Source organism: Homo sapiens, chromosome 8, assembly GCF_000001405.40.
Source record: "Homo sapiens chromosome 8, GRCh38.p14 Primary Assembly".
In the NCBI taxonomy this organism is placed as follows: domain Eukaryota; kingdom Metazoa; phylum Chordata; class Mammalia; order Primates; family Hominidae; genus Homo; species Homo sapiens.
Window position 1 is genome coordinate 85,525,839 of NC_000008.11, and position 16,000 is coordinate 85,541,838.

Consider the following 16,000-nt stretch of genomic DNA (forward strand, 5'->3'; position numbering starts at 1 on the left):
ATTGTCAATAATTGAAATCATTTGAAGGTTTAATTGCCTCCCACTCTGTGACACGTTTGTGTGCATTATTGCTCTTGAGGTGGGAGGAAAAAGCTGACCAAGTAGCCTTATGGAAATTGCTTAATAATTAATTCACTTTTTCAAAGGTGGTCAGAACACTCAGTGAGATAAACTTTAAGGATAACAAAACTGAATTACACATGTCTGTTTTGGGTAATCTTGACTAATTTTCTTAGTTTATTTCTTCTTTTCTCTGTAAAATAAGATTAGTAGTCATAACAGGCAACTCTGGCTTACATCTGGGTTCTGCTATTGCATTTCATTTTCATCTCATGGAAAAGGTTTTATAAAGCGTAATGCATTGCTCTTCTCAGCCTAGAGGTGCAAGAACATTATCTAGCTGAGAAAAAGTAGTTTTGAGTATTAATTAATGGTTGTTAAGATGTCAAAGAAACTCTATTTTTGCTTTCCTCTACTGTAGCTTCATTCATGAATATGTTTTGGTTGTAATTGATCTGCATGCCTTATCCATTACACTGCTCAGGCTGATAATATTCAATATAGTTAAAAAAAGAAGTACGTATTAAGGCTAGGCACAGTGGCTCACACCTGTAATCCCAAAACTTTGAGAGGCTGAGGCAGGTGGATCACTTGAGGCCAGGAGTTCAAGACCAGCCTGGCCAACATGGTGAAGCTCCATCCCTACTAAAAACAAAAAATTAGCAGGGTGTGGTGGTGGGCGCCTGTGATCCCAGCTACTCGGGAGGAAGGAGAATCACTTGAGCCTGGGAGGTGTAGGTTGCAGTGAGCCAAGATTGTGCCACCGCACTCCAGCCTGGGTGACAGAGCGAAACTGTCAAAAAAAAAAAAAAAATTAAAAGGTCATTATACATTATAGTACAGGAAAGCAGAATACCAGAATTAGGAAGTTTTTATTAGTCCATGTTTTTTATTTTTGTCCAGACATTTGCTTGGCTAGTAAAATAAGAAGTAGAAGTTATATTTTAAACCTCAGAATAATATATAGGCTTTTTTTTTTAGGTTTCAATATAAATGCAGTGCCTAGAATAATTTTGGTAATATAGTAAGCACTTCATAAATTCTTGACTAATACAGTAATTAGAATCACTTTGAATATGCTGCATTTATTTACTTAATCTACTATGCCTATTTTCACCAAGGATTTGAGCAGGCTTAAAAATACATGCAATAAAAAATACCTAAAATAAATAAGTGAGAGAACTAGGATAAAGGAAAAGTGTGAGTAGAAAAATAATATATCTATGGTAAAATTGACATTTTGAAATGCATATGTACAGTTGCTAGAGATTGGCATCAATTGTCTTTGTGCATCCTGGTAGCCAAAGTAAAGAAGAAAACATGATCAGTTACATGACATTCAGTATCCTTAAGATTAAAAAAAAAGTTATTCAGAATTATCTTAAACTTATTTGATCAATACCCTCGGGAATATTTTCTGATGTGTCCTCATTTATGCAACAATAATCATCAACATTGCCAGTTTGTGTGGATATGTATTGGAGCACTTCGCAATGACATCTGGTAAAGGAAGGCTAACCCGTATTTAAGTAAAAATAATTCATAAAGGTCTGAAGCAACATAATTTAAGCATGTAGTACTCTAATGTGGAACCTTTTACTGCGATAAAGGTAACTCTCTTTAGGATTAGACAGACTGATATGAATAGTAGTCCATTTACTAGCTGTACAACCTCAGGCAGATCACTTCGCCGTGCCTTATCTGCAAAATAAAGATAATTAATAGCTACACATGGCATTGTTATTAGCACACCATTAAGTAAATGTCTTAGCCAGTGATATGGAATAAGTGTTCAAAGAACGGTTGTTTTTATTTTCATTTTCTGTTTTGGTCCGAAGAAAACATTTAGAATAACTGGAGAATTGAATATGTTCTTCAAGCATTTCTACACATTTACTAGTTCTCATAATGAGGCTATTATTGAGAAGTTATACAACAAATGGTTGAAGTTGTCATTTCTGCCAAGAACCTGCAGTGCAGATATGGAAGAAACAGAGGGTAGGGGTAAAGTCTGTTACTAAGACACATGCCTGAAAGGAATGGCCACCCTGCAGTAGCAGAAAGGTAGGCGAAGGTACTGCCTAGATGCCGGGACAAGATATTCCTCAGAAAACACTTCTCCTGCTGCTCCAGTGTGTAGGTCACTAGTGACTAAGTCCCCAAAGTTCCGGGTTACACATCATCACTTCAAACAACTTGGCCTGGGAGTTTTTAAGGCGAAGGTTGCAAAGATTATTTATGTGGCCACTGGAATATTTCAGAAAAAGGTGCCAGTGGAAAATACAATTTCAAGTAGTATAAATATCAAATTCTCTCAGATAAATTTATTGCAATTATTATGCCCTAGAAACCTAAAACTCATGAAAATATCCTGACTCTAGTGTTCTGCTTATTCATTTTAAATAATTATAAATTATTTTGAAAGGACCAAAGTGAAACTTTTTAAAATACAAGACACTTTGGATGAAGAAAGCAGTAAATTATAGTCTCTTGCTGTCTCAAAAAGAGTATTGCTTATTTGGTTGTTAGCTGAAGTTTGTGTCTCTATCTCCTGCCTTCTCACTGTTTTTCTTAAGTGTGGTTTCTTTATCTGAGGTATCTGCAGTGGAGGAAAGATGACCCATTAGAATATAAGCTTCAGGAGATAGCATTTTTGTTTGTCTTTTTGTTTTGTTATTGTTATTATCCCCAACAGGTAGAATTGTTCCTGGCATGTGGTAGGTAGGAACTAAGAAACCTTTGTTTTGTTTGTTTTGGTTTTTTGAGACAGGGTCTCACACCGTTGCCCAGGCTGGAGTGCAGTGGCTTGATCTTCGTTCACTGCAGCCTCGACCTCCTGGGCTGAAGTGATCCTCCCACCTCAGCTTCCCAAGTAGCTGGGACCATAGACATGCACCATTATACCTGGCTAATTCTTTCTTTCTCTCTTTCTTTCTTTCTCTCTCTCTCTTTCTCTTTCTTTCTTTCTTTCTTTCTTTCTTTCTTTCTTTCTTTCTTTCTTTCTTTCTCTCTTTCTTTCTTTCTTTCTTTTCTTTCCTCCTTCCTTCCTTCTTTCTTTCTCTCTCTCTCTCTCTCTCTCTCTCTCTCTCTCTGTATTTTTATAGAGATGGGGTTTTGCCATGTTGCTCAGGCTAGTCTCAAACTCCTAGGCTCAAGCAATCGGCCTGCCTCGGCCTCCCAAAGTGCTAGGACTATAGGCATTAGCCACATGACCAGCCAAAAATAAATAAATGAATGAGGCTGGGTGCATTGGCTTATGCCTGTAATCCCACCACTTTGGGAGGCCGAGGTGGGCAGATCACTTGAGGTCAGGAGTTCAAGACCAGCCTGGCCAACATGGTGAAATCCTGTGTCTACTAAAAATACAAACAATTAGCTGGGTGTGGCGGCATGTGCCTGTAATCCTAGCTACTGAAGAGGCTGAGGCAGGAGAATCACTTGAACTTGGGAGGCAGAGGTTGCAGTGAGCAGAGATTGCACGACTGCACTCCAGCCTGGGTGACACAGTGACTCTGTCTCAAAAAAAAAAAAAAAAAAAAAATGAGGGAACTAGATCCTTGGAGACAGAACCAGTTTCTCCCTGGATAACTCTACACCACATTATGGGCAAGAACTTAATGTCTCAGTGTCTGTTTCCTGTGGATTTTTTTTTTTTTGAGACAGAATCTCACTCTTGTCACCCAGGCTGGAGTGCAGTGGTGCTATCTTGGCTCTCTGCAACCTCTACCTCCCAGGTTCAAGCAATTCTCCAGCGTCAGCCTCCCAAGTAGCTGGGATTACAGGCATGTGCCCAGCTAATTTTTGTATTTTTAATAGAGGCGGGTCTCGAACTCCTGACCTCGTGATCCACCCACCTCGGCCTCCCAGAGTGCTGGGATTACAGGCGTGGTGAGCCACTGAGCCTGGCCTCTTGCAGAATTTTTAACAAAAGAGCTGCCCAGTACCTTGGAGTAGCTCTAGTCACTAGCTTACCTCTATGAAAAAAGTATTTTTTATGGTAATGAACTATTCAAATGGGCATTATTCTACCAGATCAAGGGTTCTGAACATTTTTCTGGGCCATAGACACCTTTTGCAGTCAATAAGCCTACAGCCCCCTTCTCAAAGTAATTTTTTAATGCATGAAATATAATGCATGGGATTATAAAAGAAATTATTTAAAATAGTGAAATACAGTTATCAAAACATTAAAAAACAAATTTGTGTTATAGTAGTATACATATGTTTTTGTTAACACATTGAAGAAAAAGACGACATTTAAAGTGTCAGCAAGTTAGTTTTATTTTTTAAAACATCAGCTACTGTAGCTTAGCTAAAGTAAGATTATTAAACTGTGGAGTGGTCCTTGACCCATCTCTTTCCACATACTGACTAATACGAAATTGTAGATGGGGAAAGAAATGTGGATGCTGAGGTCACCAAGGTATTACACATGACTTCACTGTCAGGTGGCTGATCAAAATGAATTTCAAAACTGCCCAATAGTTGGCCAACTTATATTACAATAACATTTGTGGGCAGAAAGACTAGAATCATGTGAACCCTGATGTCAGTATAATAATGACTGCAATTCCAAAACAGTGATGGAATTGTCATTAGTCTTTCTCTATATATACATATAGAGAGAGAGAGACATTTGCAACAATAATGTAATATAAAAATATCTGAGATTTCCATTAATGATGGAGTTGTAGATTCTTCTAATATCATGGTGATACATACTTTCATACTGGAAAGAAGTAGTACATCTCAGTTAATGGCTAGTGACATAAAGATAGAAGCTTCCCTTTCCCCAGAGGATGAGAACCTCTGTACTAAACCAAAAGTTTCTTAGGACTTGGAGGCCCTGATAAATCTTTGCACTCTTAGCAACATCATATTGTATGTCTTGTTCATCCAAGCAAAATTATTTTTTACTTAATAAATAATATCCCCTTTGGGGCCTGCTTCTACTTTTCCTAACCCGTTTGGATGAGTTTGATGATAGCAAAAGCCAAGGAACTGGCGAAGACAGCAAGTGGCCACAGCTAACAGTCAAGCCAGTTCACAAAAGTCCCAGGGAGAAAGATTCCCAGTTTCCCACTTCCAGGACTTCCTACTGGACACCAATTCTACACAGTAGAACAGTTGAGATGGATTCAGGAATGAATAATTTATTGACACTGATGTCAGAGGGAGAGGCAAGACGTCTAGGGTATGTGACCTATGGATCAGCAGCAGTCTTTTAGAAATGCAAGAGTCCCAGGCTCCACCCTAGACTTACTAAGCCAGAATATGCATTTCAACCAGACCTCCAGGTGATGTGTGTGTGCATTAAAACGTGAGAAGCTGTAGCACTCAGGGTGACAGTATTCCATGTAGTTCACCTAAGTGTCTTCCCTCACGATCTCATCCTTCACCCATACACTTTCCTCCGCAGACCTTACTCCTATGTAAGACTTATTTTGCTTGCATGTTACCTTATATTATAAAATCATTAAGGTTAGGAGGGGGTCAATCACTAGAGCAACTGGGAGAGGTGCCAGTGCTTTGAATGTAGCTGGAACCTCTCTCCATTTGGAGTAATTCCAACCATAAACTTGGCCTGCCTTACTTTGGTTGGTCAGAAGAATATAAACATTCTACAGTCTCTTTATCTAGTTTGTTTTTCTCAATGTCTTGCTGAGAAATATGTTCTTCAGAATTCACTGACAACACATATTTAATCTATGGCTCTCCTTCAACACAATAAATTTCCCTTTATCAGCACTAACCCCAAACTCCCTCACCGATTACTACCTGCTTTTTTTTTTTTTTTTTTTGAGACGGAGTTTCGCTCTTGATGCCCAAGCTGGAGTGTGCAAGGGCACAATCTTGGCTCACCACAACCTCCGCTTCCCAGGTTCAAGAGATTCTCCTACCTCAGCCTCCTGAGTGGCTGGGATTACAGGCATGCGCCACCATGCCCAGCTAATTTTTTGTATTTTTAGTAGAGGTGGGGGTTTCTCCATGTTAGTCAAGCTGGTCTTGAATTCCTAACCTCGTGTGATCCGCCTGCCTTGGCCTCCCAAAGTCCTGGGATTACAGGCGTGAGCCACCGTACCCAGTCTAATTACTACCCTCTTTAAATGTATCTCCCTATAAAAAGAAGTTCATCTCTGTGGTCCCCCACATCCTTCCCTACTGACTCTCCCCTTCTGGCAGTTCTCTTGGACTCAGCTGTTAGGACCATCAGGACCCAGTTCATAAATGGATATACTGCAAAATTTTGTTTTAAAATCTTTTATTTGAAATTACAATGCACATTCTAACAGAAATTGTATACTTGGTTTTTCAAAATAACAAGGAAAAGATTATTACGTCTTTAATATGGTTGTGGAATTGTTCATCTAAAATGAAAGGGATAATAAAGCAATGTAATTGCAATACAGTAACTAAACATGAGGAAAAACCAATGACATTGAATACGAAGTGATAATATATGCATTTTAGATTTGGTTGAACTAAAGAAGCATGAGTATCATCTGTGAAGAGCATAATAAGGCTACCTTTTATTATTATGAATAATTACATCTAAAAATAGTTGCTGTTCTATTCCTGAATATAAATGGTATCCAGGCCCTACCAGATGTAACTTGGGTCTCCTGGTTCCTTAAGAATAACATACTTTTCATTCCAGTTTTTAATCAACTCTACCCACATGTTCAGGCAATCATTGGTGTAAAACTTGAGACCTTTAGAGAAGGAGCCCTTTGAGATTCCTCTTAGAACCACACTGCCATCATCCTCTGCCTCCCTTGTGCTAATCTCTTCTGACTCCATGACTCCTAAATATTCTTCTGGGGAAAAGCAATATTTTGAACTGAGCGACGGTATGAGTTTCAGATCCCAGCGTAAATCCTGACTTGGGTAGATGAAGGTACGGGATGTGTTATACTCAGTCTCATGGAATGTCAACTCTGAGTGTTAGAGAAAGTAATTCTTCCATAGCAAAGTTTCTGAAAATAATAGGACTCAAGAAAACTCATTGAGTCCAAAATGTTGATTTCAGCAGGAACAAAGCAAGTACAACCTGACCCCAAAGGGGAATCAATTTTAACAAACGTGTGGAAACAGTCTCAGAACGGAACACATCTGAGTTACTTGTAATTAATTGACTTTAAAAGTCATGATTAAAACCTATCCAGTGGCCCTTAAAAAACTGACTCAGTAACTTTGAAAATAATCTCTGTATTGACATGGTTCAGGTAACGGACCCTCAAAATGGAAGTGTTAAGTTGGTTCTATCACAGAGATTAATTATTCTTTGGGAAACAAGTGAAAATTAACAAATTGATTTCATGTGGTATCCAAACTTGTGCACAGCCCTTGCAATAATCATTGAAAGTTATTTAGCACAGAAGGAGGACCCACAAGCTAGCTCCTAAGAAAAAAGCAAGAGCCATGACACCACATTCCTCCGCATCGCTGTGATCTTTATTAGGACTCCAAGAAAACACAGGGCTGAGCAGTAACTCATTGCCTCAGTTGCTCTATAAGACATAGAAGAAAAGCTGTTTGGGATAAGAGGAAAATTTTGGAATTTTATATAAAGAAGACTACTTACTACCTGTTAAAAATTACTAATTTTTCGTCTTCCTTTTAGTCATACCTAAAGACTCCTACATGGCTTTGATGACATAAAGAGTTTGTAGAGTGAAGACAGAAATGGTGAATGAATAAACAATTTGGGCTTGAATGTAATGACCAAAAGAAGTCCAGGAGAGTTTCAGGTAGGGAAAAAACGGAAAGTGAAAGTTTTCACTTCCAAAATAGTGACAAATCCCAATGAAACAAATGAAAGAAGTGTTCTGAATTGAGACAGTTATAGACAATCTACCATTTTCTTTTTAATCAGTATTAAAACACAAACTAAGTTTTATTTAGCATCTTATTAAACCTATAGAGAACTATTCCTTATACTATTTTAGATATGTAAAAACTTGAATAACGTTTTATCTTCTAAAGAGAATTTATAGTGTCCCCATGCTGGGTAATTCTGTAATAATGAAATACATTTCTACTTTGAAATATCTGTTAATAAAATCTGATTTTGGTATATTTCTCAAGATACTTGATTAAAATGTCATCTTAACAAATATTTGAATGATAACATTTTTCTTTAAAAAAACCTACTGTATATTTCATCTTTGGTATTATCAAAAAACAGAGTATATAAATCTGTAGATCTTGCTACATTTTCTGGAAAAATTGACATCTTTTGGATTAAGGTGAAACTTCATATTTTGAGAGTGTTTTAAGTTATAGCATACCTTGATTGTGATTTGAAACCTGTATATCTCAGACTTTGTGTTTCTTTGAATTATAGAAAGGTTTAATGAATTTTGGGTTGCTATTAGAGTCTAGAAAATGCTCAAGTAGATAATAGGATATGGATACCCTAACAATAAATCCATTAGCTTTTGGTATTGGGTGTTAGGTTTCAGTCACAAGCTTTTCAATTTAAAAAATCTTTTATTCCCAGGGAACCAACTTGCAGCTACATCCACAATTCCTCAACACTGGAACAACATGCTTATGACCTTTCCTTTTCACAGCAACAGTGACGTGTTTGGTTTGTAACAGTTTCTGAACCACTGAAGTACTTTTCAACTTTCTCCCTTGGAAAAGCTGGCATCTTGCCTGAAATCCTTGGTGTGGTCTAGCATTGCTTTTGTTTTAATCACATTCCAGTGAGAAACAGCCACTTAGCCAAATTTACATCAGCACTTCCTATGGTAGCTATTGGAAACAGCACGGGCAAAAATGTTGCTATCTACTGCATTCATTGGACTCTGGTAGCTTGTAACAAATAAATAGATGTATTTTGGCTCCTCTTCTCCACACTTTTCCTCTATGTTTAAAAATATTTTGAACAAAAGATGAAGTGTTGACATTTTATCATTCTTAGGAACCCACTAAGTAAAAGATTGTATTGCTAGGGGTGGTGGCTCATGCCTCTAATCCCAGCACTTTGGGAGGCCAAGGCGGGCGGATCACTTGAGGCCAAGAGTTTGAGACCAGCCTGGACAACATGGCGAAACCCCATCTCTACTAAAAAATACAAAAAAAAATTAGTCAGGCATGGTGGCGTGCCCCTGTAATCCCAGCTACTCTGGAGGCTGAGGCAAGAGAATTGCTTGAACCCAGGAGGTGGAGGTTGCAATGAACTGAGATTGCACCAGGGCACTCCAGACTGGGCAACAGAGCAAGACTCTGCCTCACAAAAAAAAAAAAAAAAAAAAAAAAGATTGTATCATGCTGTATTCATGTCCCAGGGAGGGCTGCGAGAGGGAAGTACCATAAACTGGGTGGCTTAAAACAATAGAAATTTATTGTTTCATAATTCTGTAAACTCAAAGTCATGAGTCAAGGTGTTGTCATCGCGATGTTTACTCTGAAACCTGAAAAAGAGGATCCTTCCTTGCTTCTTCTTAGCCTCTGATGATTTGCCAGCAGTCAGTGGGTTTCTGTGGTTTGCAGAACCATCATTCTAACCTTCTATCCTCACATGGCATTCTCTTTCTGTATCTTCACAACATTTTTCCTTTGTATGTATCCACCTCTGTGTTTGAATTTCCCCTTTTTATGATGACACCAGTGCTATTGGATTAGGGCCACCCTCATGACCTCGTTTGAACTTGATTACCTCTATAGAGACTATTTCCAAATAAGGTCACATTCTCACATTCTGAGGTACTGGGTGTGGGACTTCTGCCTATCTTTTTGGAGATACAATTCCACCCATGACATGCTGGCTACACATCTTTCGAAATAACCACAAAATACACGAAAGGTATTATGCTCAGATTTAAGGACTATACCCTTTGGTTTACAGATTTAAATGTTTTCTACTATGGAAGCAGGCTGAAGGGCTTGAATGGGAAGAGGATGGATGGTTGCACGGCTGCCCTGGTAGATGCTGAATGTCCTCTGGGTGATACCATTAGTAATGGTCCATCTGTTCTCTTCCAGTGCCCTGATCACCCTCCTGTGGCCAGTAATCCTCAAACCTCATTTTTTCTTATTGAGGATTTAAGCTGAGCTTTCTTTAAATGATTGGTGGTTTGAGGCTAGGTGAGAATATTTGAGTTGGGGACATGGTTTGAGAATAAATACGTACAGATCCACATATATGCCAACTCTAATGGAGACAGCACCTGGGCCTGCCTGGCAGGAGGTCTGTGTAGAGACTTTGACCTTCAAAACACACACTCCCCATTCCTCTTTATTTGCTGCACTAATGCCTGTGTGGTAAATGTTTGCTGCACTCTGGATTGTGTTATAACACTCTACACCTCTTTAATGCCTGGGAATTAAGGTGGAGGTGTCAGATTACCTTGCATAAAATATTACTGTACACTATTTTGACATGTAGGAATAGGACAACAGGAAATGAAAATACTAAAGAGAATTGGGTCTCCATCCTTTTCTTTGGAAGGAATCTAAATCAATATTAAGTATTTTCTTTCTGCACTGAAAAATTAGAGAACTTGCTGTCTGTGACAGCCTTTTGGAAATTATGCAAGTCACTGACTTGTGGGTGTCATATTATATGCCTATGTCTTATTTACAAATTATGGTGTATGGACATTTGGGAGACAGGAATCAAGCTTATTATTACATTTTATCCACTCTAAGATGAGCTTATCCAAGACCTCCATATTTTAGCATCTCTGAAAGCAGGATGTGTCTTATAATTTATGGATTGTTACCATCATCATGGTGACAGAGCTGTCATTGCCTGCACGTGGGTGAACTTGGTTGTAGCTCTCGACAATATCATCACATCTGTTGAGGCATTGTTGATACTCCACATGTTGAATTTAATTGCCACTTAAAATGAATATAGAAAGAATATATTATAATCCAATAATGAAATGAAAGTGATTTGTACATAGCAAGATGCAGAAATAGAAAAGTGGGGGCATACATGTAATAGTAATGAAGCAGATGTTAGTGATTGGAGGGATGAATACAATTCCATATTTTCTTGCAAAGCAATTATGAAGTGCTTTACATGACCTAAGAAAGATATCCATAAATGGTTGAAGCTTTGTTACACTTTTTATTAAAATGTGGGCAAAAAGACTGCTTATCATATGCAAGGCAAGGTGATGAAAAAAGGAGAAATTGCTAATTACCTCTTAATAGATGAAAAAAATGTAACACAATGAAAATTGATATGACCAACTCATGCGTGCATACATACTATCAGTATGGCATTGTGTCATCAGTTAGTTGGAAGTGTTTCTCCCTTCTGAGTTGACATAAAATTATTGCTTACCTTATAACTGAAGGCATCATCAATGAAATGTATTTTTTTGCCATCTCCATGAGTCCTAGATGCTCCCTGGGAAACTTCCCTAGAAGTTTCCCTAGAAACTTTCTGGAAAAACACCAGATATTTATTGATTGACTGTATGGGTTTGGTAATTTAAATAAAAAAGTGTCCCATTATTGTGGCTAGCAGGACTGGAGGCTGCCTCTATGAGTAAGAGAGTAAGTTAGTATTTTCCTAGTCTGCTTCATTGCAGGGGTCTTGAAAGTAACTTTTCAGTGAGGGAATGGAATAGAAGGGGTGGCTGATGTAAGAGAAGGCTGAGGCATGGGAATAGGTTTGGCAAATAATTAGTTGCCACTCTCTCAGCATATGCTGGGAGCTGTTGTCACCCACAGGACATTCAGTGACAGTGTGGGGAAGCCTCATCATGATTATTTTTCCTTCTATCTAGATCCCACTTAAAAGCTCTTCTTTTAGCTTAATCATGTACATAAATATATGCATTGTTTCTACTCAATACATAATTCTATGCTATTTACAAGATGACTTTTTCTTAATATATCTGTTGCATCATGGTTAGTATTAACATTTCTAAGAACACCTTTTTGATCACCCATGTTTTTAGTTTGTTTTATAAGTCTCCATCCTCTTGCTTTGTATTGAGGGAAGATTTCTTCTGCACCCTCCAGGTGTACATCCCAAGGTTTTTAAACTGTCATTGCCATCACTCAGCTTGCATGATGTTGATGTCACTGATATCCATAAAGCACTCATGGATGTCACTGATATCCATAAAGCACTGTTATTAAATATATATCTGTGGCTATCAATAACCCCAATTCCACAGGTGGCTGTAAAAGTATTTCCACCTTGTTTGTTTCTGATAAAATACCTATAATTTCATGTGTCTTCTTGTCCTTACATTTGCAGGACTTATCAAAAAGTTACATATGCTCTATTCTTTATATTCTCTCTCCTCTCATGGAAATAGTAACTATTTATGTTTGAATAAAGGGGAATGTAATTATTTATTTCATATTGAATATGTATACCAGATGCCTATACCAAGCGTTTCAGCATCCTTACATACTTCCTTTTATTTAATCCTAAAATAACTATATAAATTACATGTACATATCTTGAGCTTTGGTATTATAAATTATATTTTCAATAAGAAAACAGGCAAAAAATGCTTCCATAGTTATAATGTGGCAGTTTATGACACTCTAGCCCACAAATCTTTTTCTTTCTCTAAACCTTTGCTAAACTTTTACAATGAAAATTATGCAGTAAATATCTGAGATAACTGGGGAGTCCTAAAGTATTAGATTTAAGATGAGTTTCCATAGCAACAATTACAGTAATAGTGGACATTCACTGAGTGCTTCTTTTGTGCCAGGTAAGCTTCTAAGCTCTTTATGAATATTTTGTGAATAGGGCAACTCAAAGATAAAAACCATAATCTTTCTTATTTTATAAACAAGGAAACTGAGGCAAAGAGACTTAAGTGATTGGCCTCAGCTTATAGAACTTGCTATTGGAGTGAGGATGCAGACCAAGGCAGTCAACCTCAGAGCCTTCGTGAATAATCATTCCAGAATTCTGGTTCTTCACTTCCCCACTTAAGAAGCGAAAGCCCAGAGAAGCCTTTGAGGAAGAGCTGCCAAGGATCCTCCGGAGTGTCAGTCTTAATTTTCATGCTTTCGGAAGCTGTTAGATCTTGGAACACCTCAGGATTTCTGATCAGTAACTACAGAGGCATAACAAGGCAGCTATGAGTGTAGTCTTTCATTCTTAACTTTTTTGTTCCGCTCCCTGATGACACGATGAACTGACTTCATTAACTGTCTCTGGAGCACCAGGGTGGCCTCACCTTCTGTCTTTCCAGCCTCATCTGCTGGGGCTTCTTACCTCAGCCTCCACCCTAGACATGCAGAGCTGCTGCAGCTCTGCTCCTCCCCAACACACATTGTACCACACGCATCCCCACAGCTCCCACATACAGATGCAAACACACACACACACACACACACACACACAGAGTGAACTCCTTAAAGTCTAGGCTCATGTTGTCCTCATTGTCCATAATGCCCCTCAGCAAGTCCCAGTCTCCCACCCCAGTTGGATTCCTCCCACTCATCCTGTCAGAATGAACTAAGGGGTTGCCTCCCCGGGAAGCTTTCCCTCACCCTCGGCCCACCTCCTCTTGCTGGGATGGATAAACCTTTTCTGTTCCTCCCACAGTGCCCTGCACATTCCTCCATCACTGGACTTATCAGGCTGCCTTTTATGAAACATCTCTCGGGCAGCTTCTTGAGGAGGGACAGTGGATAACTAATCATCCCTAGTGCTTACAGAGCACATGGCGCACAGCTGCCCCTTAAAAAGCATTGAATAAATGAATGAGTGAATAAATGAGTAAATGAAAATGGGATGAAGCTGGAAAATGACCCCAAGTCACTAGCTCACCTCAGCCATGCAAGATTTTTAAAGTGGGTGATAAATGCTCAGTCTTCTATTTTGAGGAGATTTTCCTCATCTTGCTCAGCCAAGGAACTTTGGAAAAAGGCTTTACATGAAGAAAGACAAAGGTCTTGGAGCAGGTGTTGGGAGCAGTGGCTGCCCACTCAGAGGATGCGAATGTTTCCCTTCCTGTTGGCAGCAAATTGACCAAGCTGAGAAGGGCACCTAGCCCAAAATGATGCGTTTTGGGCACCTGTGGGCACCTGGAGGGCTACCTGGCAGTTTCATGTGTCTTATGGAGCAAATGCATTTCCAAGCGTACTCAAAGTGATCAAACAAGAGGAAAAATATATGTACTGATGTTTGAAGATGTGAAGTAGACTGTTCTGTACTGTAGGAAGAAAGCACATGTAACCCTCAAGCCAGCCTCCTCCCCATGCTTGGCAAAGTGTTAAAGGCATTTTTTTGTTTTCTGAGAACTTTTACAAGTAGATTGATGTTTGACTAAATCAGACTCTGGCCTGTGCTGCCAATTTTCACAGCCTATTCACAGTGCACTGTGGAGTAATTCTAACAAAAAAGACATTGCCTATTAAAAAGTAAGGTTACCAAAAATGTTATTATATGCTGACAATGCATTACATTTTTTAAAAACCTAATTGAATGTAATTTTCACTGCAGAAGGGAGATGTGCCCCTACTGGCCAGTGAAGGAGGAAATGGCTGTGAATGTGGAATCAGAAATCTGGATTGGAACCTGAGCTCAGCCTTTTACTGGCCATGGGATCTTGAACAAGTTACTCAACTGAACTGAATGTCAATTTCCTAATCAACAAGACAGTAAAATCATGCCTACTCTGCAGGGTTATTATAAAGAGTAAAATCAGCTTGTGTCTGAGACAGGGTAGATGCTCAGTAATGTTAGTAGTATCTTTATTATTTCATGGAAATGAATAATTTTCCTGCTTTAATTGTTTGAAAAAAGATAGTGTTTACCAAAAAATGTGTTTTTTTAGTCAATAATTTCAACCACAGTTTTAATTACTGACAAAATGAAATATTAGGTTCCAATACACTTCTTAAAAATATTTTAAAAATCTTCAGTATTTAGTAAATCCCAGCAAAAGAGGCAAAATGTGGTTGATGGGAAATCCTTGAACGGGGTAGAGGAACAACATCAAGGAAATCCAGGATGGAGTTTGGAGCAGCATGATCTCTCAGCTGTGGCCTGATTTCTGCTGGTATTTCTTGAAAAACAGGGTCAAAAAGGGAGCATATTGTAGCTAACCAGAGTAGAACTCTCTTGAATCAATGACTCCCAGATGGAAAAAAGATCAATAAAACACTCTAAATGCAAACTCTTGTTCCACTTTAGTTCTGAAGAATCAGACTTTCTAGGGGTAAGGCTAGGAAACGTGTGTGTGTGTCTGTGTGTGTGTGTGTGTGTGTGTGTGTGTTTTAACTCTCAAGTTATTATTATGATCAGCCACTTTGAGGAACTATTAGAGGTAATGCTTTGAGATTTATGGGTAGTTGTTTTTAGAGGTCAATAACCATAATTCCGAAGCATGAAGTGCAGCCAAGGATAATATTTGTCTAATATGTAAAATTCTAATTATAGCTAAATTGCAAAGAATAGTCATCTATTGTGTAAGATATCAATCTTGTCTTTCATTAGTTAGCATGTGATCCTCCTTTGAATCTTAATAGACTCTTTTTAATAATATAATTTCTTTTATTTCTTTAACGTCAGTGTATTGTCTTCTTCATTAAAAGAAAATGTCTGTGAATTGAATTCCTCATGAAATGGCTTCCTATGTGCCAAGTACTATTTTAATTTCTCTAATTTTAACATTTAATCTGTACAGCAATATTATGAAGCAGACTATTACTATCTCTAAGGAAACAGATACCAAGAGGTTAATGATTTTTCCATGGTCAACATAGCAAGTAACTATCAGCACCAAGATTTGAATCCAGGTAGATTAGTTGTTAAAGCTATTCACTATTATTATCACTAGAGGGAAAAATATTCATTTGAAATGTTTTTGTTTATGTGCCAGGCAATGTGCTAGGCACTGGGAATATGACTATGACTGAAAATATTTATGCCTTCAGGTTGCTTGTAATCTTGTAGGAGAGACAGGCAATTTAGCAGGCAGCCACAGTGATATTT

General features: G+C 38.3%; 1 long non-coding RNA gene across 1 annotated transcript in view; it reads left to right on the top strand.

The window, feature by feature from the left end:
* LOC105375937 (uncharacterized) overlaps positions 1-8,922 on the top strand; it is a 39,068-nt gene extending 30,146 nt beyond the window's left edge. Inside the window, exons 6-7 of the long non-coding RNA XR_929129.4 lie at positions 7,685-7,811; positions 8,564-8,922. This is a non-coding gene — a long non-coding RNA (uncharacterized LOC105375937). The remainder of the gene's footprint in view (positions 1-7,684; positions 7,812-8,563) is intronic.
* Positions 8,923-16,000: the final 7,078 nt, after the last annotated feature.